The sequence below is a fragment of the Homo sapiens genome, chromosome 16 (assembly GCF_000001405.40).
Source record: "Homo sapiens chromosome 16, GRCh38.p14 Primary Assembly".
NCBI classification, from domain to species: domain Eukaryota; kingdom Metazoa; phylum Chordata; class Mammalia; order Primates; family Hominidae; genus Homo; species Homo sapiens.
In genome coordinates this window covers 49,559,686-49,586,325 of record NC_000016.10, presented here as the reverse complement: position 1 = coordinate 49,586,325, position 26,640 = coordinate 49,559,686, and the positions used below count along the sequence as shown (strand labels likewise).

The 26,640-nt window shown below is 48.4% G+C and overlaps 1 protein-coding gene across 15 annotated transcripts in view, besides 2 other annotated features; it reads left to right on the top strand.

The window, feature by feature from the left end:
• ZNF423 (zinc finger protein 423) overlaps window positions 1-26,640 on the top strand; it is a 371,756-nt gene that overhangs the window by 272,954 nt on the left and 72,162 nt on the right. The window lies entirely within an intron of this gene.
• Window positions 17,084-17,584: an enhancer, noted in NCBI's record as "H3K27ac hESC enhancer chr16:49602653-49603153 (GRCh37/hg19 assembly coordinates)". NCBI's record gives its function as "activates a minimal SCP1, AML or CMV promoter by ChIP-STARR-seq in primed H9 embryonic stem cells {active_cell/tissue: H9 hESC(primed)}" and the evidence as "EXISTENCE:reporter gene assay evidence [ECO:0000049][PMID:30033119]".
• Window positions 17,585-18,085: an enhancer, noted in NCBI's record as "H3K27ac hESC enhancer chr16:49602152-49602652 (GRCh37/hg19 assembly coordinates)". NCBI's record gives its function as "activates a minimal SCP1, AML or CMV promoter by ChIP-STARR-seq in primed H9 embryonic stem cells {active_cell/tissue: H9 hESC(primed)}" and the evidence as "EXISTENCE:reporter gene assay evidence [ECO:0000049][PMID:30033119]".

Here is a 26,640-nt window from a genome sequence, read left to right as displayed (position 1 = left end):
CAGTCATTCCAGGGATACTGAGCAGAGGAAAATGTTTAGTTACAGGAGGAAAAAAAAAAAGGTGGTAATTAAATCGAAGTGTCGTTTGTATCACGCCACGCTACTCTGTCAGCGACGCAGGCGGGAAGAGGTCTGCTGGGCCTCACCTCGGAAATTCTTATGTAATAATAAGAACATCAACAGCATCACCACCTTCTTCCAGGTGAGGCCAGGAGAGTTAGCAGTGCTCTTTCGTTGCTGTTTGGTTGTGTTGTGCCAGGTTAGCGTTCTGGGAGGCAGATGCTATTGTTCCCATTTTACAGATGAGGAAATGGAGCCCACTGTCTCATTTTACTCAGGGCTTGAAATCACAGTTGTATATTTCAGACGTCACGGTGGCCTGCTTTCCCACCCTGTCCAGTGACAGGGCTGAGCCTCCTCTGGATCACAATTCCTTTTCCGTCTCCTAACAGCCTAGGCCAGCCTTGAGAACTTTGGTGACTGTTTGCCTGAATTGTGCGTCTGACTCCATGGCTTGCCTCTCATGACGGACACCTTGTAATTATCCCTTATAAGCACTCATTGTATTCATATCATTAATTTTGTTTGGGCTGTTACATTTGATAGATACATTAAGCATTATATAGTTCTCTTTATACATGAAATTGAACTGCCTTTGAACAGTCAGCCGGCTAATTGCCGGTAATTTGTGTTGCTAACGAGAGGCAGAATAGTGGTATAACATTAGACTCAACAGTCAGTTAACAAATTTGCCGATTCAGATTGCAAAGCCTGCTCTCTGTAGCACAGGCAGTATGCATCTCACACATGAACAAATTTTTCAAAATGCATGCAACTAAAAAATACCTCCCAAACTCTCATCCCCCCATCGAGGCCTGTGTAACAATGGCTGGCTGTACAGCGGCTATGGGTGTGGGGGTGGGGGGTCTGACCCTCCATTGGTAGCTGTGGGACTTGAGGGGACCTTGGGAGTGGGAGGGAAGGTGTGGGCTGCTCCTCAGGGGGCTGAGAGGCCGAGTCAGTGCCTGCCTCCTGAGCGCTTTCTCACCCACACCTGATCTGTGTTCTGGGGGCAGCCACGGCTCTTTATTATCATAATTTTCCTTCTGCAAGGTCTTCCAATCCATCAGGTCTTGCTACCCTGAGGGGGTCTTGGGGGAAGAGATTGGATGAAGTTACCTTCAAGTCCCTGTTGCCACAGCCTAAAGGTAATTTAGAAAGAGGGTGGCTGGGGAGAAACAGTCAGGGTCATTGCCCCTGAAAGTTCATGAGCACTTCTGACCCTTCTGCCTTGAGAAAGCCATGGCAGTGCTTAGAGGAGCCTGGTGCACTTAGCTAATGAAGTGAGTGCCGGGGAGGAGGCTCTGGATCTGACACAGACAAGACAGCTGAGGCTCCTTCCTTCCGGAATAACAGAGACCCAAGAAGACACTGTTCTGGGCTGAATTATGTTCCCGGTGCATTCTACATATTGAAGCAATATGTAGCAATATTGAACAATAAATTACATATTGTTACATAGGTAATTTAATCAAAATGAGGCCCTCAGTTGGGCCCTAATACAATCTCACTGGTGTCCTCATAAGAAGAGGAAAATTGGACAGAGAGACATCAGGGATGCATGTGCTCAGAGGACAGATCATGGGAGGACACAGCGAGGGGGTGGCCACCTACAAGCCAAGCAGGGAGGCCCCAGAGGAAGCTAGCTCTGTTGACACTGCCACCTTGATCTTGGACTTCCAGCCTCCAGAACTGTGAGAAGATAAATTTCTGTTGCTTAGGTCACCTAGTCTTCATGTGGTTCTTCATTATGGCAGCCCCAGCGTATGAGTACAGACAATTCCTATAGCTCTAGGAGGCTCGGGGAGGCTGTGGTATGGGCTGTTGGAAAAGTCCCAGAAAACCAAAGTTCAGCAGCCCCCTTAAAGCTTGAAAAACACAGTTTTTGGACAAAGTACAGGATGCCCTAAGCGTAGGCAGTAGATAGCAGCCACTCCAATTCATTCCACAATAGAGGCCCAGCTCCTAAAAGGGATTAGATAGACGTTCTTTCGTATATCCAGTTAGCTACTAAGGGACACGATGGGGGCTGTGGGAGGGATCTTCTTTGTCATTTGAAATGGGCTCCACAGAGGCCTCTTACACCCTTGCACCAACCAGCTATAACTCTCATTTTCATGGGAAGTGTGGGAGAGGTTTGCATTCCTGCATCTTCCTTCTCTAAGCACATGGGTGTTGGTGCCTACAAACCAATATTTACAAAAGGGACTTTTTAAGCTTGGAAGACAATGCTTTGTGGTTATCAGAGCTTATTCTAGCATCTTCTAGGCCTGGCTGGTATCTGCTCAGTGAACAAGCTGGGTCTGTGACTGACACATTCCTGAGCACCCCAGGCTCCAACTTCCTCCTGCCCCTAGCTCCAGTCCATAATTTAAAAGAATTTAGCTTTCTTATAACTTAGCAAAGTAGCAGAAAACATTTGGATTCCCAACTTTGGACAGATAGTTGATATTTGCAAGGTTGTGGTACTTGGTTATAGGACCACTAGCCTAAACCTGATCAATATATTTTATTGATTGTTCATTAGCACTATGTCACACTTGCTAGGCACTTGCCATTATTGGATATAGATTTGGTACAGTATCCACCCTTTCTCCCTGGGTAATGGTCATTGAGCTTGACGACATATAAGTGTGTGTATATATGTATTTATGTATGTGTATATATATATGTGTGTGTGAATATATATGAAATATGCATAGTCATTAGTACTTCTGTAGATGGTTAATGCATCTGTAAAGAAAATTATGTCATTAGAATAAAATTGATAGGCTTAATATTTTTGCGCACATGTATTTGTTCTCAAATCATTTAGAATCCATAGACATTTCTTATAGAATGGGAATGATGCTGCCATCATGACTTTTTTTCCCCACTTATGGTGTGATTAGCATCATCACAAGATGCTTTTCTAATGTCAAATGGCAGCTTTATCTGGAAAACCCAAATGTCAGTGTCCTGCCAGCATCCCTGGTCATACTGTTCTTGCTATTCTTTCATCCAAGGATAGGAACATACAGGAAATGAAAAAACCCACCATTGCAAGTTGGCCAAAATGCCTCAAACACATGACCATTTGTTCCCATCAGTCCAGGAAGGTTCCTAGGTCCTAACCCTTTGCTAGTGTCCAAAATTGCGGTCCATAGGTGGCCTCTGAGGTCTCATCGTGGTTCTTCTTGGCTGGCCTTTCCTTCTGTTTACCAGCCAGGCAGGAACAGAAAGGGGAAGGCAGAGCCCAATTTTGAGTAGGTCGCTAAGAGAATTTCATCTTCAGAGGGGTTCCATACATACAATAAATTAACAGTTGTGATGTCAGCAAGATATTCACATATGGATAGGGAGTATGGGTCATTTAGAAAGTTGTGTGATAAAACTGATCTTTGGTGATAGTGGTTTATCCTGTGATAGCATTCATTCCAGTGAGTTAAATGTAGAAATTCAAAATGGTGCTAATAAGTGTTTTTTTCATCAACATAGGTTGATTTTATTGTTTTTTCATCCAAAAGTAATGCATATTTGTGGAAAAACATTTTAATACATAGAAGAATATAAATTCTTCCTTCTCTAACCCCTCTTGACTCCTCCCTCAGTTTCCACTGCCTGGAAGCCACCTACCACTCTTATTGATGTTTATGTGCCTCCAAGAATTTCCTATGCCCATTTCCATGTATTATTCAGATGGGATCAATTACATTGGTTATTCTGCACCTTGCTTCCTTCGCTTTTAGGTTTGCACTGTGGACTTCTTTCTATTTCAACCCATTTGGTTCTGCTTCATTAAAAAATAGAGTATGCATAGTGTTTTATTTTATGGCTGCACCGTAACTTATTTAATCACACCTTTCTGGATGAAGTAAAAGCATTTGCAGAATGCAATGGGAGCACAGATACAACTCGGATGCTGGGGAGGGCTTCAGAGAAGAGGTGACATTTTATAACAGGTTTTGAAGAGTGGCTTGGAGTTTGTAAGTTTGATCAATGTCTGCAATATGGAAGGAAGCCATGGGGGATGAGAAGAGGAATAGGAGACTCAATGGATTCAGGAAGGGAACAGAGTAGGATCTCATGCACCTTCCTGCCTGGAAGGGGCTTCCCCTGGGAGGAAGTTCTGCAGTTGGAGAATGGGACAGTTTCTTGCATCCCCAGCTTGCGTGTAGGCGTCAGGTGGGCTCAGGAGACTATGTGAGCGTGGTGAGTTGCATGGGTGTGCAGACAGAGTAGGTGCAACTAACCAGATATTTGAGCCAAGTTTCCCAGCGTGGCAACCAAAATAAAGAGAGCGAGAGAGAAGGAAAAAACTCACTCAGCTTGCTGATAACCCTGGTTATTGCTTGGGAAATGTTGCACAGAACTGACGCCTGGTGACATGTCAGCTCCTGACAGAAACCCGGGTTGGCAGGTCCCGTTTTTTAAGCTGAGTGCCTGTCTGCCAGATCGCATTTGGATTGAGTGGCTGGCATTCCTCGAGCCTTGCTTAATAGGATTGAAAGAAAAGAAATGTTACTTTTCATCACCCAAGACAACAAAGAGAAACGGGGAAACGAAAATATTATTTCGTTTGAACAAATTACAGGGAGACTCTCTGGGGCACTTTCAGGGAGTTAGATGAGGAAAAGCACTTAAATATCATTCCATCAAGCTAAATTTTTAACTACAATTTTTTACAGATAAAATGTGTTGGGAGGATTCAAAGAAGATTAGAGCTCACCTAAGAAACAGTATTCAAATTTTACCAGCTAATGGAGGCCTAGCAAAAACTGTTAATGCCTATAACTTTCCTCCAAGGGACAGAGATTTCAGTATTCTTATAAAAACACATTGAGCTGATTTCATTTCGGTGTCTCTGCAGACTTCATTCGTGTAATTTCAGTAAGTGTTATAAATGTTATTTTAAGTATTATAATGATAATCCCTACTGACGATGGGGCTGCGCATCTCAGCTTCCATTACTAAGGTAATGTTTACCTCGGATAGCACATAATTGTTTGCTTTTTTTCACAGTAAACTCTCCGCTCCCAATTGCTTAATCAGCCATGGAAAAGAGAGGAGACTTTAGAAATGTTTAATGTTCTTCTGATTACATTAGAGTAATGAGTAAGCCCACATCAGTGGGGCTGGAGGAACATACCGCCTCTCTTCCCCCCTTGTTTATTTTTTGGGGAGCGGGTGGTGAGTATGTGTTTGTTTTTGTCCACGGTTCTTAAGGAGGACTGAGGTGGGCTGTGGCAATCTCGTGAATCATTTATTGTTATAAATATCACGGCTGGAGCGTACATCTACTCAGCCCGTGAACTCTCAGGGCCCTTTTTCTGTGCATGTGGTGGGCCTGGCTGGGCCTCGGGCTGTCCTCCTGGTGGGTCCTGTGAACTCTGGTATTCTGGTCACAGTCCACGTTTCTATGCTCTCACGATCCACAGAGCACCCTGTAGGCTCTCTGAATGCGTTCTCCGCTGCCTGCTCGTTGGAAGCAAGATTTTATTAGGCTTTATGAAAGTGAAACTTTTCTACCCTCGAATGTGGAATCTCTGGGGCCTTCTCGGGGCATTGTATAACATTTGCTTCTCTGGCTTCTTAAATATCTGAATCCAAATGTGATCAGGAATTAAGAAGGAACAAGGAAGATTGATATGCATCACAGGTTGGAAGAATATTTGTTTCTACGGGTCTTGAGTGTTCAAAGCTCTCCTTTCTTCATCCCTTGGCAATGGGGAAGTTCTGCTTTGAGCTAACTGGAAGGCCTGTGTTCTTTAATTCATTCAACAAACATTTGAGAGACTGCTCTGCTTCAGGCGCTTTGCTGGGCTCTGGGGAATGAATACATGTATTTTCCACACCTCTGTGTAGTTTACTGTGTTGATGGGAAAGCCAGGAATAAACAGGCAAACAAGTAAATACATAATTACAAACTAAGAGACGTGTTATTGGTGCAGGGATAGGGAAAATTGGGAGGATGTTGGTCAAGCTGAGGTTTAAAGGATGAGAGGGAGCCAGCTGGGTGTGGGGCTAGAGTGTGGGGAGTGACCGGGACAGTGGCTCCCATGACGTGAGAGAGGCCAGCAGAGCCCAGGAGATATTGGGCCTTCCAGGATGTGGCCAAGAACTGGGATTTTATTCTCTGCAATAGGAAATTATTGCAGGACTATAAGCTGTGAGTGACATTTTCCTATTTTAAGTTTGTATAAAGATTGCTATGGCCTCTGGGTGGAGATGGGAACATCCAAGAGCAAGGGTGGAAGCTCAGGGTCCCGTGGGTGGCCACTGCTGCTGCTGTACTGGCTGGAGATGACAGTCCATGGTGGTGGCAGTGGCTGGGGAGGCTGCGTCAAGGTATAATTTGAAAGGTAGGTGGACAAACTCACTGGTAAACTGCATGTGAGGCAGGAAGGTGTGTTGGTCTGGATGACTCTGGGCCACTGAATTTCTTCAGCTGACCCTCTGCCAGCCCTCCCTGTGCCCTCCCATGGGAGAGGTCATCTCGCAGGACTGACTACCTGGGGTGTCTTCTTCTTTCCCCAAAGACTGTTTGGAACCCTTTATGGTGGTCCTTGAGAAAGGATGGAGCAGGGGCTGGCTGGATTCCCTGCCTCCCCAGCCCCTCATGAATTATGTTACTCCTACGCAAGCCTCAGTTTCCCCAGCTTTTCCTGAGAAGTGGATGCCAGCACGCTCAGCTTGCCTGGACCCTCCCTTCTGTCTCCCCACAAGCCCAACAACAGCCCTTCCTCCAGCCACCACTCCCAAGCTCCCCACGGTCTGTAATATAATTTAGCTTAAGCCTTTAGTTAAAGACCAGGGCCAGTAGGTAGCTGATTTTCCCAGTCCTCAGGGTGGACGCTTGACAGGTTTCTGTGCTGGGACTAAGGAGCGGAGGGAAGGGAAGTGGAGTGACTGATAATTAAAGGATCCTGAGGGCCCTAGTGTGGTCCAGTTGGCCCAAGAGGGGTCCTGCCCCATGGAGATCTGGTCAGTGGGCATGTGTGCACCTGACCTTCTGGAGGGTAGGCAGCTACCACCAGGGGCTGGGGTGGGGCAGCAGTGGGTGGGGGTGGGGGGGCAGGGAGTAATTGCTTGGACAGAATATTCCCAGTGCCCAGCTTCGAGTTGAATTAACTTCCAAGAAAATATCTAATATCCCTCCCCTTTCCCTTGGAGAAGCAACAACTAGTTGAATCCATCCATCTGTGTCTCTCCCACCCTCTGCATCCTGGGGAACATGGAGGAATCTAAAAAAGAATTTGCCAAAATCAAGGTGGAGCATGAACCTCCCAGGTATGCTTGGGAGCAGAGGAAGCGGGGAAAATAATGTTTTTGTTTCCCTGAAACACACACACCCTCTCAGTCCCAACCAAAACCAGATGAATATTTTAACACTAGCGCATTTTGTTCAAGCCAGGAGTACACTGCATTCCTGGCAAGGCCAGAGAATGACCTGAAAACCTGAATATTTCAGGGAACAAAAGGTCCTTGGGTCTACCTCCGTCCAGGGTTATTTGATGACTGGTTTGGAGGGGTTTCGGGAGTGTGGGAGGAAGTGGGCAGGGTTTCTGCTGGTCCCCCTCCCTTCCAGGCTGCCTACTGTGGGAGCCCATGCCCTGCTCCGTGGCACCAGGCAGCCGTGTGGAGCCACAAGGTCCCAGCTCCCAGCCATGCACCAGGCAGAAAGGAAGAGGTGGGAGAGAGAAGGAGAGGGCGAGAGGCGAGGGGGCTGGGAAATAGAGAAACAAACTCTGTTTTCTGCTCATCTGTGGCGGGAGGCTCCCGCGGCCCACAAGCTCTCGGAGTGAAGCAATTTCAGACAGGGATGAGTGTCTGTTTTTCCCTGGAGCAGAGGCTAAAAAACCCCAAAGCCCTCGGTTTCTCTTCCCTTAATATCCTGTTTTAGAAAGTGCAGTTGTGAGAAGGTGAAGGAAATGAAGAAGACCCTTAGCAAATGGAAGCAGTCCTTCCCCCGCTGGAGCCAGGGGGCTGGGATGCCTTGTTCCAGCTGCTATGGATAGGCTGGACAGAGGCCACCTCTGGGATTGGGAGAGGGAGCTTGTTGCTGAAGGGGGTCCCTGGCAGGTGGCCATTTGCAGACAAGGATTCAGATTCCCGTCCTGTCTTGGGGGATGTTTACTGGGACTGGTGCCATTTGTGTGGCTTCAAAAGCCTTGGACAATGGCATGCCCAGCTCCCTGCCCAGAGAAATGAGGATCTTGGAATACTGTGGCTCTAGGCTCTGTTGATCCTGCCTTTCTTCCAAATGCAGGTGCTGGACATTCACCCCCTGCCGCCTTCTTCCACCTGCCCACAGTGTGTGCCTGCCATGTGTCTAGGTCAAGCAGGCACTGGCCTTTACTGCAATGTGAGTGCAGAGTTTCAGAGGCAGCCTGGTCCAGGGTGGCTGGGAGCCGGGTCTCTATCGCTGGCAAATAGGAACTACAGAGGCTGTTATGTCCTGGAGAGGCCTCTTGCACCTGCATGGTGGAAGGAGGACAGAAGCTGCTTCTACAGTGGAGGTCTCCCTCTTGTGCCATCAGTGGGGCGTGGGGAAATCCTTCTCTCCATGAGTGAGGAGGGTCGGCACTGCCTGTGGCTGCCAACAAGGTTTCCTGCAGGCCTTAAGTCACCTCCTGGCCTTGCTCTCCTCCTGCACTTACCTGCTGCAAGTTGAGCGGCTGCTGGACTGCCTGCCTTACCTTCCAAGTCTTGCACCACATTTCCCTTCTCTTTTGACCCTGCTTGGAGGGATGTCCCAGCCCTCCTTTTCTCTGTTTGTGGAGATGCTGGCTCCTGGCTGGTCGCTGGGCCTTGCTGGACATGGGGCCCTGGCGTCTGTCTGGGTGTGAGCCTCAGTTCTGCACTCTGCTCTCTGGGCAACTAGGCAAGTCATGTAACCTCACTGTGCCTGCTTTCTCCTCAGTAAAACGGTGATGATAACGGTACCCTCTCCTTATGTGCTAGTGAGAATTACATAAGCTAAGTATGTAGAGTGCATAGATCAGTGTTGACATGGAGTAGCAATGAGTACATAAATGTTTGACATTATTATGGCTGTGGTGGTTGATTTCTTTTCCTACAACTCTTTCCCATTCTTGGAGACTTGGCTCACAGCACCGCTCCTGCAGGGACCCCACCCCCCCACGCCAGCTGGCCTGACCCCAGGTCTTCCATTGTCTGCCCTGGGTGGTTGGACACCCAACCTTACTGCCTCATTGTCTGCCCGGGTTGTCTTTAATGTTGTCACATCCATTTGGCACATCTCAGTTATTTCCAGATTCTTTTGAGAACAGGGACTTGCCTGTCTTCTCATCTGTGCCCTCTGTTTCTGGCCCCCAAATTCTGGATTTGGTAAATGTTTAGTAATCACTTGCTTCATTGAATAGTATTAAACTACATTTTTAAAAAGGTAAAGGCCTTTCACTTCAAAGACTACATATAATAAAGAATATATGCGCATCTATTCCTTATCATACAGTATCTGCTCTGGGCTAGACCCTGGGAATCACACCCAGTGCCAATGGAAAAAATTCAGCTCAGAGAAGAAAACTAATTTGCCCAAGGTCACAGCAACTGGAAAGTCAAAGGTAGGACTTGAATTCAGGGCTCTGAACTCTACTGGGGCAGACTGTGTGGGCAGCAGAGAGTTGGGCTCTGGGGGTTTTCCAACAGGACCAGTTTTCTGATGGGTAGGGGCCAATTTGCTAAGGGTTGGCCTTGAGCTACGGACTGCAGTGGCCTGAGTCTACAAGTCTGTGAAAGAGTGCCTGCCTCCAGGTAGTGTCCACGAGTGGCATGGTGGCCTCCGTTTTTATTGGTAGTGAATGTAGTTGCATTGGGGCTAACACTCAATAGACTTGACTCTGTCAAGGTTCAGGGCACCTGGCAGTGCCCAGCCCAGCTACTGCTCTTGCCTGCACCCCTGCCTCTGCCCCTGCCCCCACCACGAGTTCACCTGGCACCATGAGCTCCCTTGGACAGCAGCTGGCCAGGCACCCCAGTCAGCTGCCTGAGCACAGGGACCACAGCCACGGTTGCTGTTCCCAGTGTTCCCAGTGTCTATCTTGGTATACAGTAAGTGGTCAATGCGGGCAGCAGGAAATATGATGAGGGCCAAAGGGATTTGTCTGGTTCTGGCAATTTCCTCCAGAGAGCAAAGGAAACTTCTGGTTCCATGTCTGGGTATGGAGTTTGAGAAACGGGATGAACAGGGTAAGATGAGAACACTGACCTTTGAAATAGCCCTGCCCCTCTGTCTCTCCCAGGAGTCAGGAGCACTATCTGGGGTGATCAGGAGAGAGCCAGGGGAGAAAAAGGACCCCACCCTAAGACAGAGTTTGGCCTTTGCTTCTCCCAGCCTGCACTCAGTCTCTGATCTAACCACCCTGGAGGGCAGCCCGTGCCTCCTTCAGGCTCCTCCAAGTGTGGGCCAGTGACCTACACCATCTGCAGTGTCTCAGAGTGTGCGAGAAGTACCAAAGGCCAGGCCTCACCTGGTCCTGCCAAACAAGAATCCGTGTTTTTAAAAGAGCTCCAGGTGATTTGCATGCTCAGTCAAGTTTGAGAAGGGCTGGCTTGGAAGTCGGGACACCCAGGGCAAATGCTGCCGGAGGTAGCACGGTGCCCTCCAGCCTGGCCTCTGTCGAAGCCCCACCCACTGCTAGCCATACAGCTTGGGGATGTGGCCTGTCCTGGTTTCATTTCCTCCTAGGCACAGTCGGGCCTATCTCCCTGTGCTGCTGAACGAGGACTGGGGCAGCCACTCCTAACACATGCTCTGCACTTAGCTCACAGCCCGGGTGTTGTGAATGCTGGCCGGATGTGATGTTAGAGGCCTGAAGAACCTAGAGAGTGAAGGGGCTGCGGCAAGTAGGAGGGGAAACTGCTGATCTGAGAAGCTAGTTTTGCGTTGGGCTTGTTTAGTGGAGCTTAAATTAGGAGCTAAATACCCGCCAGGACTCCCCGTGGAATTATTACATGAAATGGCAGGGAGACGGGGAGCCAGAGTTAATGCTGGTGATAGCAGTTTTTTTTAAATCTAAAAAAAATGTGTTGAAAGCAAGTGAAACCCCTGGTGATCGCAAATGAATTGCCTAAGTTCTCTTAGCATATCCACTTTCCTGAGTGATGCCTGGGTTCGCGTGAATGAGCCACTTTCTTCTCATTACGAAGGTGCAGTGTGGCTCCTGCAATGACTCCTGGTTCCGGCTGGCAGTCTGGTATGGGCCCGACCCCTCGATCCGCCTGTGGAAGCTGCATCCTTGGTGGTGGCAGGAGGGGCTCCATGGGCAGGGCCGGGCATCTGGGCCTTCTAGCAGTTTAAATGCCTCCGATTAGCAAGTCGGGTGGGAAGAGGTGCTAAAAAGAATCCTTCCCACCTCCTCCGCTGGCATGTTTTGAAGGGAGTTCAGTTATGAGACTATTAAAATGTTATTTTGATAATTAAGCCCACAGCTGTTCTGAGGGCAGCAGGGGCAGGCAGCACACAGGCAGCAGAAGGCCTGGTGCTCTCCCAGGCTCCAGGAGAGAGGGAAAGCAGGAGGGAGCAGGGCAGGGCGAGGTGGGATGCACGACCTGGAGTGCAGCTGGCTGTAGGCGGAGAGTGCCCCTGTCATTGGGTTCAAGGATGCCTTTGAATGACAGGAGGCAACAGTGGCTCCAGCAGGCTTCCAGTCTTAGGTATGGCAAGCTGTCCCCCACATGGGGATACCTACTAGGTTTCACCAAGACTCTCAGAGCAGGGGTCACTAGATCAGTGGTTCTCCAAGTAGAGTCCAAGGACCAGCAGCATCAGCATCAGCAGCAGCATCACCTGAGAGCTTGCTAGAAATGCAAATTCCCAGCCCCACATACAACTGCTGAATCAGAAACTCTGGGTGAGGACTGGCAATCAGTGTTTTGTCTTTTTAGAGACAGGATCTTGCTCTGTCACTGGAGTGCTGTGGTGCTATCATAGCTCACTGCAGCCTCAAACTCCTGGCTCAAGTGATCCTCGTGCCTCAGCTTCCTGATTAGCTGGGACCACAGGCATGTACCACCATGCATGGCTAATTTTTAAAATTTTGTGTAGACAGCGGGTCCCACTATGTGGCCCAGGCTGGTCTTGAACTCCTGACCTCAAGCAGTCCTCCCGCCTCAGCCTCCCAAAGAGCTGGGATTACAGGTGTGAACCATTGCACCCAGCCTGTAATCTTTGTTTTAAAAGACTCTCCAGCTGATTCTGATTCACTAAAGTTTGAGAACCACTTTCCTTAAAGATCACCTGGCAAATGGGGCTCAGCCGTGCAGTGATTCCTTAGAGATTGGTACGGCTTGCTGTGAGGTATGGATGAAGGCGTGGGGATGATCAGCAGGCTCACCACATGTACGCATCCCTGATCTAGTCCTATTCCTTCATTGAACTGGATAGCAAAGAGAAGCCCAGAGAGGGGAAGGGGCTTGTCTAAGGTCATTCAGCACATCAGAGCAAAACTGGAATTGGTAATCAGCTGGGTCTCTTGATTCCAGATCTTTCTGTTGGACTATCTTTCTGAATGCAGAGGATGGATGCAATGGTTTGAATGTGTCCCCCAAATTTCATGTGTTGGAGATTTAATCCCAAAATCCGTATGTTGAGTCATTTGGAGGTGGGGCCTTTGGGAGGTAATTAGGATTAGATAATGTCATCAGGGTAGGCCCAGATGATGGAACTGGTGGCTTTACCAGAAGAGGAGAGACCTGAGTAGACAGGCACACACTTGTCCTCTTGCCATGTGATGCCCTGTGCCACATTACAACATAGCAAGGAGGCTCTCTCCAGATGTCGTCTCTGTGCTCTTGGACTTTGCAGCCTCCAGAATCATGAGCTAAATAAACTTATTTTCTTGATAAATTACTTGTCTGTGGCATTCTGTTATAGCAACAGAAAATGGAGTAAGACAATGGAGCTGGGAGAGAAGAGGTTTCAATTGGAAGTGATTAGGTAAGCCAAGGAGATACCCCATGGTTTATAAACCCAGAATATATTCACTGGCCTGGAGTCTCCCAGCATCCTCTAGACATGTTCTGCTGGGAGTTACTGCAGGACATACATCAGTCCATCCACACATCCATGCATCCACTGGTCCATCCATGTATCCATTTACTCCTCTACCCACTTCTACCTTCCATCAGTCCATTCATCCACCCATCATCCATCGTCCACATGTTCATATATCCATCCAAATATTTAAGTCACCATTCACTCGCCCATTTGCTTATTCACTCCGCACCCATTCATCCATCTACCTGTCCACTAGTTAGCCAAACCTTCCCGCTCTCCCTTATGGAGAGCCTACATGTACTATGCACTCCATATCATTCTCAACCAGTAGAAACCTAAGTTAACCCAGGTCACATGAGTTGGTCACATGAGTTCTGTAAGAGACTATTGAGCCAGGATTATGACAACAGTTGAGTCTCTCCACAGCTCTGCCTAGGACCTGCTCTTCCATTCCTCCCATTGCCAGCATCCCTCTCCAGTGTGCACTGTGGGAGGCCTCATGTTCTCGTCCTTTGTAGCACCACCACCTGCTCCATCCACACCTTCCTCACAGTTCCTTGAGCTATGGTAGTGGCGTGTCAGCTGGTCTCCCCACAAGCAGCCTTTCCCAACTCGTGCCGTTACTCACAATCTGGAAGTACCACACTTGATCATGCCACTTCTCAAAGACTCCAGTGGGCTCCTCAGTGCCTGTAGAAAGAAGCCCACTGTTTTGCTCAGCTATCTTATGCTCTCTGTGCTTGGCCCAGTCTAGGTATCAATGTTACGGCCCTTTGGTTTCCAATTTGTGCTGCAGCCAGAGTGGGTGATTTGGTTTCCAGACTGTTTTTGGCATGTGCTTTGGCTTCATGCTTTTGTGCATGCCATCTCCTGCGGAAAACACCTTCACCTCATGTGCCTCACTCCCCCCAGTTAAAATCCTTCCCACTCTCTGTGGTCCTGCTCCAATGCCTCTCCCTCCTTTTACTCATGGGGTCTGTCCTTGTGTCCCACTGGGATGGGACGTTCCCTCTGCCGAGGGAATTGTCATGTTTCTGGCTCCTGTTTGCAAGTCTCCTGCTCATAGCAGATTTCAGGCAGCTGCAGGTCTGTGTTGTCTCCACTCCAGGTCACTGTCCAGTGCCTGACACATAGTAGGTGCTGTTTCTGAACCCGGCAGTTCAGGACTTAGTTACATGTGTCTAAGATGGTGTAGAAAGGGCTACTGGGGTCTGACTGTTGGGTTAAAAGGCCTTGAATGTTGTTTGCCCCTTAGTACACACGGTGCTTGGCACATAGTAGGTGCTCAATCAGTATTTTTTGGATGGAAGAATGAATGAAAATATTTACCTTCTCCTTTAATGTTTGTAATTTCAAAATAAATATGGAGCAAAGAAAGCAAGAATAATAGTAAAAATTCAAAACCCAACTTGCCCTCTGCAGTGTTGGTCATCTAGGAGGGCAGCTGCCTGTTCCCTTGTCCCTGTTTTGGAGTGACCTATGGGTTCGAGTGGGGAGGGGCTGTGCATTTCACTTCTGAACTTGCAGTCAGAACCTGCATCCTCTCTGCTCTTCTGGTCTATTCTACGCTCCCAACCACTCATCTGTTCTCTATGGTGAACTGGAAGTGGCCTTCTGAATGTGTCTCCCTGTCTGGAGCCTTCAGTCGCTCCCATTGTCCTTAGGTAGAGACCCTCAGTGTAGGCCACAAGTCTCTGTAGAGTGGTCAGACACCCCCATCCTCCCCTCCCCTCCATCTGACACTTGCCCCTCACTCTGCATTCCAGCCACAGGCCTTTGTGCATGCTGTTCCTCTTCTGGGACTTGCGCTCCACGTGTCAGACCTGCCAAGACACAGGCCTGATGCCCTCGGAGCAGCTGCCCCTTTGTCTACCCTCCTGGGCATCCATCTCTCAGGCTGCAGTTAGGTGGTGACTCGTGTGTACAGTTGGTGAATATCTTCCTCCCTGGCTGGACTGGGAGCTCCTGGTGGGCAGGCACCACCCAGACCTGAGGCTTTATGCACAGTAAACATTTGATGCTTGTTTTTTGAATGAATGAATAAATGGATTAAAAAAAAAGATACAAGGTAGGTGCTTAGTAGATATTTATTGAATGAATAAATGGACGGCACACTATAGATGCCTAGCAAATTCTTGTTGGATAAACCAAAAAACCCAAGCAAATCAAGAAGGCTCAGCACCTTGTTGGAAAAGCCTGGCCAATGACTCTTCCAGTTAGGCCTTCTCCAGACCAGGGATACTATCTGTCTGTCCATCCAGCCCTCCTGCTCTTTTCCTGTTAGCTCAGGAGGCCATGCATGGCCATGCCTTTGACCCTCCTGCCTGCTCTACCCCAGCACACGGGCAGGACCTGGAGGAGGGTGGCAATGGGGCCCTAGAGACCTCTGCTGACACACTTGTGCTGGGGGTGGCCTTCTGGTGAGTGATGGGATGGAGGCTGCCCTGGCCTCTGGCCCCTGGTATCACGACTCTCTTTGCACTTCTGTAATCTTTTAAACTCCAGAGCCGTCTGGTCCAGCTATGATCTGGAAACATCTTCCAGAACATCTGTTTTCCTCCTCAATCAATACACTCCCCAAAGAGGGCCAAGTTGCCAAATATTATATATAACATCAAACATGCTATCTGAATTCAATTAAGTGGTTTGGTTGGGGAAGAGGTTGTGGTAATTAAGCATACTGTTTTGGAGCAAATTATAGCAAACTGTTTCATTCTTCATTAGGAGGCACCTCTCTTGACTCCCTACGAGCTAAAAATGAGGGAGAGGAAGAAAAAGAATTAAATAAATACCCCCCAACTCACCATATAAATGAAGATAGCTTGATTTATTGGAACCATTATGGGCTTTAATTTTTAGCTCTGTGGTGCTCTGTGGCCATGGTGCAATTAACCTCTCTGAGCCTCAGCCTTCTTATCTGTAAAATGGGGATGGTAACACCCATCTCACATGGTTGCCATGAGAGTTCAATGAGATAATGAAAGAAAGAGCCTGCCTGTTACAGTTCCATGCACAAAGCAGGCCTTCACTAAAGGGTCACGATGGCATGGGGGTGCATTGAGGCTGGATGATTTATGCTCCGTCAGTCAGAGCCAGATTAGAAGTCCTTTTTCTACCAAATGCATCTCACGAGTGTGCCAGTGTCATTTGTGAGTTTCTGGGAGCAGGGATAAGGACTCTCCTATTTCATTTTGTTTAACAGCCATAGTCCATAGCTCAGAGCAGGCAGGCTCCATAGGTGAGGAGGGTCAGAATGCAGACCTCAGATGGCTTCAAGTGCTAGTTCAGCACCTCCTTTAGCAGCTCTGAATTCCCTGGGCAAGTTGCTTACGCCCCTGCCACATCAATTTCCTCCTCTGTAAAATGGGATATCACTAATTATTACTGACCTCCTAGGCTGCTGTGAGGATTAAATGAATTTAACAAATGGAAAGCACTTACAGTGCCTGACACATAGTAAAACTCCCAATACATGTCAATTTTGTTATTCATTTATTTAAAGAATGGCCCGTTTAAGCTGCCAGTCTTTTTTTCCACGGGCACTCCACTACTTAGGCTAGGGATACACCACACAACCAGCCCCAGACTAATAGCAGTGCCCATTTATCAAGTGCCTACCATGTGACAGTGGAAGGCCCAGAGGAGGTGCTTAACATCCATTCTCCATGGCTGTTGCAACAAGCCTGCTGTTACTTTCATCATCCAGAGGAGGAAACTGAGGCTCTTAAAGTAATCTAGCTGAGGCCATATAGGCAGCCAGGACGTTACAGGGCTAGGATTTGTACCCAAGCCTATGGGACCCCAAAACGGCTCTCTTTTCACTCTGCCATGCTGCCACTCAGGAAAACACACCTCCCAACCCTGACCCTAACTGGGCATCTGCTCTGTGCAGACTTTCATATCTGCAGTCTCAGTGGATTATCCAGAAGTCTTGGAGGATTCGTATGTTGACCCCCATGGGGCATTCTGACCCTTAGGAATTGCCTTCTCCAGGAGTCCATGAAAAGCTCATTCTGGGTTGAGTGAGGTGATAGGACAGGCTCATCCTCCCTGGAAGGGGGGAAACTGGTTAGAAGGATTTTGTCATCCAGGAGGGAAAAGATAGCGGCCTGAAGAAGGATGCTGGTAGCAGAGGTGGAAAGGAGAGGGTAGATTGTGGAGAAAACAGGATTGGTCACCAGTGGCATGCGCAGTAGGTGCTAGAGTTCTTTAGAGGCGGGGGTTTTCCTCGGAGGGATGTTGTTCTGGGAAACCTTACTAGAAGGGGCTGGTGGGGTCTAATCTGACTCCTGAAGGAGGGATGGAGTCATTTCACACAGTAGAGACATGAAGAGTTAAAGGTCTGGCGGTGGGAAGGCCCTGGGACCAGCTTTGGGGAGCAGACGAGGAGGATGTGAGAAGGTTCCTGCATTCAAGGAGCTCCCCGTGTGTGCTGGGACAAGAGGCCTGCAGCCAACAGTGGCTCAAGCAGAGTGACATCCAACACCAGCTATTCCACAGATTTGGGTGGGCTGTGAATTTTAGTGAATAGGAATGGGTGTGGGAGAGATTGGGGAGCCCTCACTGGACCCAAAGGCTTGCGCAGACAGCATTTGTCATTCATTCATTCATTTGTTCAGACCATCGATGTACTAATACTGTGGGGCAGGAGAGCAGGCGGAGGCAGGAAGGGAGACAGACAGAGGGACAAAAAGGGACAAAAGCCCTCCATGGGAGGCACTGAAGATTTAGGAGGCATACATACCTTGTATGCCTTGTCAGAGGTTTTTTGAGTTGCAAGAGCTGGAACCCTGCCTCCAGCTGGTCTAGGGAACAAGGGGAAGGGCTCACTGCTGCTGAAACTAGGGCTTCTTAAGGTGCAACAGGCCCAGCCCTGCCCTCTGTGTCTCCAGCTGTTGGTCCTCCTTTTCTCTATTAGCCTCCCTCTCTGCCAAAACCCTTGCAGTATGGTACGGAAAATGGCCACCAGCCCCTCCAGGCCCACATCCTACCCCCTTAGCTGGCAGTTCCATGGTGTTCCATGACAGGAGAGTCCTTTAACCTCCATAATACCAGAAAATTCTTACAATTGGCTCTGATTGGCCAGGCCTGGTCACATGTTCATCTTTTAACCAATCACTTTATCCAGAGGCATGGCATACACTCATTGGCCAGGCCTTAGTCACATGCTCATCCCTGACCCAGTCTCTTTATCCAGAGACATGGAATACACTAATTGGCCAGGCCTGAATCACATGCTCACCTATGATTCAGGAGTGCCATTATTCTCTGATGGTGGTTCCCCAAAAGACTCTTGGGTCATTGTTCCCAAAAGGAGGGAGAATGGATGCTGGCGGGAATAAAAACAAGGTCCACTTCCGGAGGAGTATAGGCCGGCTCTCCCCTCCAGGAATGAGTGGAATGAGTACTTAGAGCTGGGTCCACCCTGTCAAGTGGAATGTCAGGAGCTGGCCATCAGAGAGGGCTGGGTCCATGGGAAGGGAGGGTCTTCTGGGCCAAGGAATGGCCACACCTGGTGGAGGCCACATGGGCAGAGGAGGCCCTAGCCTCTCTTGACATCTCATGCACCTAATTTCCTTGCACCTGCACTGGACGGCTATTTGCATCCTCCCTACTGGGGCTGGGCTCTTTTCAATGCCTTCCCTTTTCCCTGGTGAGTGCATTTCAGGGTGGGAATGGGAGCTTTTGTTAAGGCCGCTTGTTGTCCGATTCCTGGTTGGCCAGCATGAACGGCGACCGAGATGGCAGGGCTGGGTCTGACTGGGAGACCTTTTTCTTTTGAACCCTTCTGGGGTCTGTCTAGCCTGATTCTATCTGGGCAGCGCATAGTGTTTTCTGGACAGAAACCCAAAGCTCACCCCTGTTTCCACATTGTGGAGCTGTGCGTCAGCATCATGGGAGCATCGCAGTGGCAGCTTTGTATCTCCCTTTTGTCCTGAGAGGGAGAGAGGTTGGCTTGGGAAATGAAAGGATCAGCTAATGCCATCCTGGGTCACATCAAAGCCAGCTAAAGCTGGGTGAGCTAGCTCATCACAGCTTCACAGGTGGGGAGGTTCAGTTTGTCAGAGTCCCTAGTCCTAGCCTCAGCCCTGCTTGCAACTTGCCTTGTGATCTTTGGCAAGTCTCTGTTCCTTTCTGTGCCTTGAATTCCTTATTTGTCCACACAGGAACATGAACACTTTGTGAGGGGTAAAACTTAATTCGCGAGTGATGTCATCAATTTGGGCCCATTCCTTTCTGTCCCAATGAGAGTCCCAGTGAGAGGACCCCGTCTTACCCCTCTTCTGTGCTATTGTTGCTGGCAGCTTAGGAACACATGGCTCTCATTTTAGGACAAATGGCTCTCCCTACTCAGAGAATCAGCTGTGAGTTTTCTGCTCAGGCTACCCTGTCTCAAGGTTGCTGCTGACCCCCTCCCCAAAATTCCCTGACACCCTCTTCCCCTCCCCTTCTCTAACTTCTGGGGTGAAGCTCGAGGCTGCCACCACCTCCCCGCGCTGCCCGCCAAGCCATTAGTCTCCCTTCTCACTGGCTGCGCATCAGCACAGTAATCATTTTCAGATTTACAAGCATTAAATATTTTAATTTAATGCCTTGGCTCTCTTGTAATTCATGCACTTAATTATATGATAATTACTCAAATGAAAGAGATACAGCTGCTGCCGTATCAATTCTGAGGGAAGACTGGATTTTTTAGTTGGACTCATTTTGGGAGGTGGCCTCCCCCACCACACAGCTCCACATCCCTCCCCAGAGGCCTCCTGCAGCCCTTCTTTTCTTTGGGCCATGGAGTCTTTCATAGCCCCTCCTCTCCCAGCCAGTGCTGGGGCTGGGCTGCAGGTGGGGTGAGAGTCTAGGCAGGCTGCACCCATCTGCTCCAGGAGCAGGGTGTGAGTCCTGCCCCAGTTGGGTGACCCAGACTTTTATGGGTGCTGCTCTGTAAGCAGAGAAATCTAATGACCAGTGAGCCAGGTTGGGAGGAGCCATGGGCCTTCTTTGAGTGGTAGAAGAGGAAGGACCCTCTCCAGGCCTCTCTCCCCACTGGGCAGCAGAGGTGGCTATGAGTGCTGTTTGGGGGCCTCTGTAGCAGGTGGAGAAGCCAGGAAGCCTGTCTCCTCCGCTGGTGATGGAAGTCTGGGGGTAAGGAGTCAACTTCTCCTCTGAATGTCTCCACTGGAAGTGGGGTTAGACCAGGCCTCCTACCACTGACCACCAGGGGGTTTGCAAAGACAGGTTAAGGATGGATGGAAGGAAGGAAGGAAGGATAGATTGATGGATGGATAGATGGTGCTTTCTGATGGGAGCACCCACCTTGTTCCTATCACCCCTCCCCTCCCTTTCTCTCCCCTCCCTTCCTCTCCCTTTCTTAACCCTCCCCCTCTCCTCTCCATTCTCTCCTTCCATCCTTATCTTTTCCATTTTATTTTCCTACTTTTCTTCCTTTCTCTCTTTCCCTATTGACATCTAAAATTGTGTTGGATGCCTGAAGGGTACTGGCTGTTGTGTAAGAACTGTAACTATTAATATTTGGCAAGCATTTCAACTCCTGCCCTCCCCTGTTCACGGAGCCCCGATGGGTCTGATGTTGCTGAGTAGATCGACTAGAGACCCTTTGAGTTGATGGCACCAGCAGATTTGAGAATCAGGTGGTGTTGCCTTGAGCCAGGTCCTCGTTGGTTCTGAGGGTGGGCAGCACGTGGGAGGGCTTCCACAAAGCTGAGCCTGCTTCCTTAGGGGAGAAAAGCCCCTTTCTCTTACTGAGAATCAAAGGGAAGTGGCAGAGGAGTCCTGGGCAGAGCCCTAGTGAGAGGGGCCGATGGTGCTCTGGCGCTCAGGCTTGAGCTTTTGAAGAAGCCTTTTGGCTTTCCTTGGGATGAGAAGTTGGGTCAGGAGAGTGAAATTTCCAAGCCAATAATGTATTCAGGCTTTTTGAAAGTTTCCTGGTTGTTCGGGTGGGGAACCTCTTGGTTTAAGGGAAGATCTTGGCCACTCTGGGCCCACGTGTTTCGTAGGTGTGGGAGAGCTGGACAGTGCATTTCTGCCGAAGTGTGGGTTTGCACTGAAAAGGGTTACAAATGGTTCGCCCGTATGCAGACAATTTTCAGCTAGCTTACAGCAGCTGCGGCGCCGTGCTGATAGATTAAAAGCAGCAACCAGCCCCAGAATGAAGTGTATTAGAACTCCTGCTGGGTCGAGCTGGGGAGAGGCCCACACAGCTGTCATCTAGGCCAAGTTTCCAACCGAAACCTCAAGAACAGGATGGAACTCTGAGAAAAGTTAGCTTTCTAAATGAGGTGGCCGGCTGTTAATCAGGAGAGTGGGGAGAGGGACCCGTGGAATGCCGGGAATTTAGAAGATGAGGACGAGGAGGAGATTGGTGGAGGTGTCCTGCCCAGACCAGGAACTTTGTACAGAGCTGTGATTTCTGGGGCCAGGGAACAAACAGGCTGTTGCTGGCGGGGGACCAAGGGCTGGGCACAGCACCCCCTCCTTGTGCCTTGCTCCAGGCATCTGTCTTGGGAGTTGGGTGAATAAGGACATCTGGGTGTTTCCACACTACTTCCAAAGGCTCCAGGAGCTCAGTGCCACCACACCATGCTCAGGCCCCCCTGGCTGAAATGGTAGGGTGATTCTTGGATCTGGGGAGCTGCACAGATCTACTTTTGTCCTGGGAAATTTCTCTGTAGAGCCACCTGCTGCCAGCTGTCCTTCGCTTTCCCCTGGCTACAACATGGGGGCTGTTTTGATTTCATATGTTTAAGGGATGTCTTCTCTTGTGTTGAGAAAGGCTCTTGGCAGGGATTGGGTCCTGGCCCCTGAGTCTGACTCAAGGCCACAGAAGGGGTTCCTTCCCATTGTCACAGATGCTACTTGAGAGCATATCTAGCACACCCCCATCCTTAGCCAGCATGCCAAAAGAGAGATCTGGAAATATTCTTTTTTTTTTGATATGTACTTATTTTTGCAATAAGCAAAATACTTCCTGTTTTAAGGGTCAGGTGAGTCTTTGCTGAAAAAAGGAATAAATCCAACTTAACTACATTGCGATTATAAATAGTACAATATATGGCCATAATTCAGTGGCAGTGGCGTTTGTGGTACATCTATAGCAAATCTATCCATTTAACAATTTGCTGTGTCCTCACTCGGGCAGGCCATTGGGCAGGCTACTGTGCAGTCCATCAGCTGCAGATGTGGCTCTAAGCATCAGGTGCAGTTGGTCATCAAGGAAACACAAACCTAGGCAAAGAGCCTGCTGGTATCACACATCAACTGTGGCAGTCTTATGTTGGGAAGAGGCCTGGCTTCCAAAGCTGCTGTGCATGACCTTGGCCCATCAGATGGTGGGAAATAAGCTCTGCCCATTGGTGGCATGATTGGAGGCTCTTGAGCAGACATGGAATTCTCGTGGTTTCTTGCCTGATGAGCAATCAGGTCACAGATGTTTTCTTGGATTCCTGAGCTGGCCATACCAGTGGGATGTGTATGTTTCAGTAGCAGGCCATGGGGAGGGGTCTCAGGGGGTGAGGGAGAGGTGCAGGTGGATGCCATTGGCCTGGTCCAAGGGTGTGGTTGGGATGGTGCCGACAGGCCTAGAGGCCAAAGACGTGGCTCTGGGAGGCAGACCACCTTGGTTTGAGTCTGGGCTCTGCCCCTTCCTGGCTCTATGACTTTGGACAGGCTGCCCCACTTTCCTTGACTATAAAATCAAGATAATGACAGCATCTCTCTCAGAGAGTTGTTGTGAAGATTAAGTGAGATATCGTTTGTCTTAGACCTTGTGTGTTGCTGTGAAGGAATACCCGAGGCTGGGTGATTTATAAAGAGGTTTATTTGGCTCCCAGTTCTACAGGCTGTAGAAGAAGCATGGCACCAGCATCTGGGGAGGGCCTCAGGCTGCTTCCACTCATAGGATAAGAGGGAAGAGAGCTAGCATGTGCAGAGGTCATGTGACAAGAGAGGGAGCAAGAGGGAGGGGGGAGGTGCCAGGCTGTTTTTAACAATCAGCTCTATGGGAACTAACAGAACAAGAACTCACTCACGCTCCTTCCCCTGTGATCCAAACACCTCCCACTGGATCCCAGCTCCCAACACGACCACACTGGGGATTAGATTTGAACATGAGATTTAGAGAGGTCAAACATCCAAACTATAGTGACATGTAAAATGCGTACAGCTGGCTGTGTGGGCGCGGTGGCTCATGCCTGTAATTCCAGCACTTTGGGAGGCCAAGGTGGGTGGATCATGAGGTCAGGAGATCAAGACCATCCTGGCCACATGGTGAAACCCCATCTCTACTAAAAATGCAAAAAAATTAGCTGGGCTTGGTGGCTCGTTTCGTGCCTGTAGTCCCAACTACTCGGGAGGCTGAGGCAGGAGAATCGCTTGAACCCAGGAGGTGGAGGTTGCAGTGAGCCGAGGTTGTGCCACTGCACTCCAGCCTGACGACAGAGCAAGACTCCATCTCAAAAAAAAAAATGCTTACAGCTATGCTGGGCATTTAAGTACCCAATGAACGTTGGCTATTTGGACAAATTCTTCCATAATCTTGAATAGTTTGACAAGAATCCTAGAACCTCAAATCATCTGGTCTGATTCTAGAATCCGTTCATGAATCTCTTCCACAAATGCCCAGCTTTCCTTGAATGCCTCCCATGATGGGGAACTCACCCATTACAATCAATCATAGACAACTTTTTGTGGATCTAGTTTCCAGACTGTACTTTTTTGTTGGTTCTCACCTGATACAAATACTTTCCTGGCTTCTTCAGTATAGACTCCCAAGAACAGTTAACAGCTGCCACCCATCGGGTGTGTATCAGGCCAGGCACTGCGCCAAGCACTTTACCTACATGATCTCATCCATCCTCCTGTGTCCTAAGAGACAGATGTTATTTTGCCTCCATTTTACAGATGATGATAAAGGGTCAGAGAGTTAATTTGTTTAAGACTCACACGGATCCAGTTCAGCTGGCTGGGACTGAGACCTGTCTGATGTCCTAACCATTATCCTTTCCAAGCAAGCTCAGAACCAGCTAATTCTTTGGTGTTTTTCTCTGCTTCTCCCTTCTCAACTGCAGTCAGACCACTCTCCCATAATGGTTTCTTCCTATTGATGTTTTATTTGCGTGATTTGGGGAGACTATATAGGGATGTTACCTTTTGTGAGATATTATGTCTACAGCTTCTCACAGCACCATTAAACTAGTAGGATAAATTCTGTCTGCAGGAGACAGAAGCCACTCACTACTGTTGTCTAGTCTCTTAAATTAATAAAAATAATAATCTGATAAACTGGTTATTGTAATTTATCCCCGTAAAGCAGAGCACGTGCCTGAATTGTCAATCAGCCCTCAAAGCAGTAGAAAATAGCCAGCAATTACCAAAGGCTCAGTGAGCAGGGCGACCGCAATCCTGGCGTCTTCAAATTAGGAGAAATAAAGAATGCATCCAGAACACATCCATTTTTCAGCAAGTGCTGCATGGATTATAAAATTTATTATCAATAAAATTATTCATTTGTGCCCTATACCGCACTTAATGCACCTGAAGTGAGAAATTAGAAGTGTGTTTAATTCTGGGGCTGGAAGAAAATACAAGTGCAGCAAATTTGCAGTAATAGGAGAAAGTTAATGCCTGGCAAAAAAAGGAATCAATTTAGTGATTGCTTTTATATTTTGGAAGAGCAGATTGGTTTTTCATGCTTTTTTATGATAAAAGCATACAGATTCACTTAGATCCATGGTTTTCATATTGCTTTCGAAGAATAAAGAGAGGTTATGGATTAAGGGGAGTATACAAAGGTTAAAAGTACGTGCATGTCATCTGTATTCTGTGTATCTGGTGCATATATGTAATATATATGTGTATATATCTATATATGCCTCTATACATCTATATACACACATACCCCCAGTAAAGTAGATGTAGTTACAATATAGTTGGTAAATATTTAATAACTCACTGTCCGATAAAAAACAGAATTTTGATTTTGTAGCCTTTGCCGATTTCTGTGGTGTAAATACTCCCACTGTGGGCCAATTTCAGTCTACCAATATCATTTCGCTGAATCTGGAGTTGGGAAGAGAAACGCACAGTTGGCTCTCAGGAGTCAGTATGAACTGGCTCTAGCACAGCCCTGTTTTATATGTGCACATGTACGTGCATATAGACAGACACATATTATCTCTATGGTTTAAGAAAAAAAGAAAGGAGACATAAATGCTATCCATCAGTTTGAGCCCTGAGTATCATCTCTGTGTTTTCCCAAGTGCCAGCCTCCTTTAGTGAATTTGCATGTACATTTTATTCAAGTAAAGAGCAGCCTCCTGCCCTGGAAACACGGTGACTTTATTTTCATTAAGTTCCACGTGCTAAAGGAAAAAAGAAAAGAAGAAAAGAAGAGGTGAAGAAGGAGGGGGAGAATCCAGGCTTGGCTTCCCTTGCATTAGCAACACTGGCTTGTCTTCAGCGTACTCGGCCGACTCGCCTCGGTTTTTATCCAGCCATTGTTCTTTTTACACCGAGTTTGCACACTGTGGCGTGTCTGGGGAATTTCAGCAGTTGGAATATACATGAAAAGAGTTCCGTTCCACTTTCATAAGGTCCCTGGATGGCTTGGACGAGGCCTCAAGGCCCCATGGTAGAGCCGGCACCACATTCATATTCCTTCCCACACCACACACGATAGCACGAAGCCCAGACCAATCGAAAACTTGACAGTAAGCCTTTTGATTTTGCGGGGAAACCTTCATCATGCTGCGAGAGGGAAGGGAATATAGCCCAAACTGGACTTCATACTGTGGCAAGCTTGAAATCCCAGCCCAACCGCAGAGCTGGCTGATTGGAATTGTTGGAAACTGTGTCCAGGAATTCGGCTGCAAGAACTTGGCTCACAGCAACTTCGGCCTTTTTGAAAGAAAAATTGTCAACTGGGAGAGCCACTTGGGGCCTGGGTTTAATCTGTCCAGGCAGTAAAGATTCACGGAAATGATTGGCCAAGTTTCCCTAAAATGCTCAGAGCTCCTGCCTATTTGGGGACTCTGGGGGTGGGAAGGAGCAGGCTCACTGGCTCCTGGTGACAGCTGTCGTCACTGCCGTGATGATGGCAGTTGTCACCGGCTTCGATGCTATTGCTATTTTGTTAATCGCCAACCTGCTGCTTGTGAGATAGCAGAATCAGAGGTGCAAACAAAGCCATACAGAGCATATGTTCTACTCGGTACCCTGCTCTCAGGCTACTGTGACAGGGTGGCAATTTTCTGGGCACACCTTTTGCCCTGGCAAAGTCACCATGACATTTAGACAGCCAAAGACCAAAGAGAGACTAACATTGAAATCATAGATGTGTGCTGGGTAAATCTACAAGCAGTGGTACCGTTTGCACCTCTCTTGGGAGGACATCTGTGGGCTTTCTTGACTGGGATCGTGCCTTCAGTTTACTCATCTTTGTTTGAAAATGTTAGTGAATATGGGACCCTGCTATGAAATACCCATGAAATTCTAGCATCTGGGTACATTGGCCAGCAATGTCCTGATGATACTGATGTAGACAGTAGACCTTGGTTCAAATGCACAAA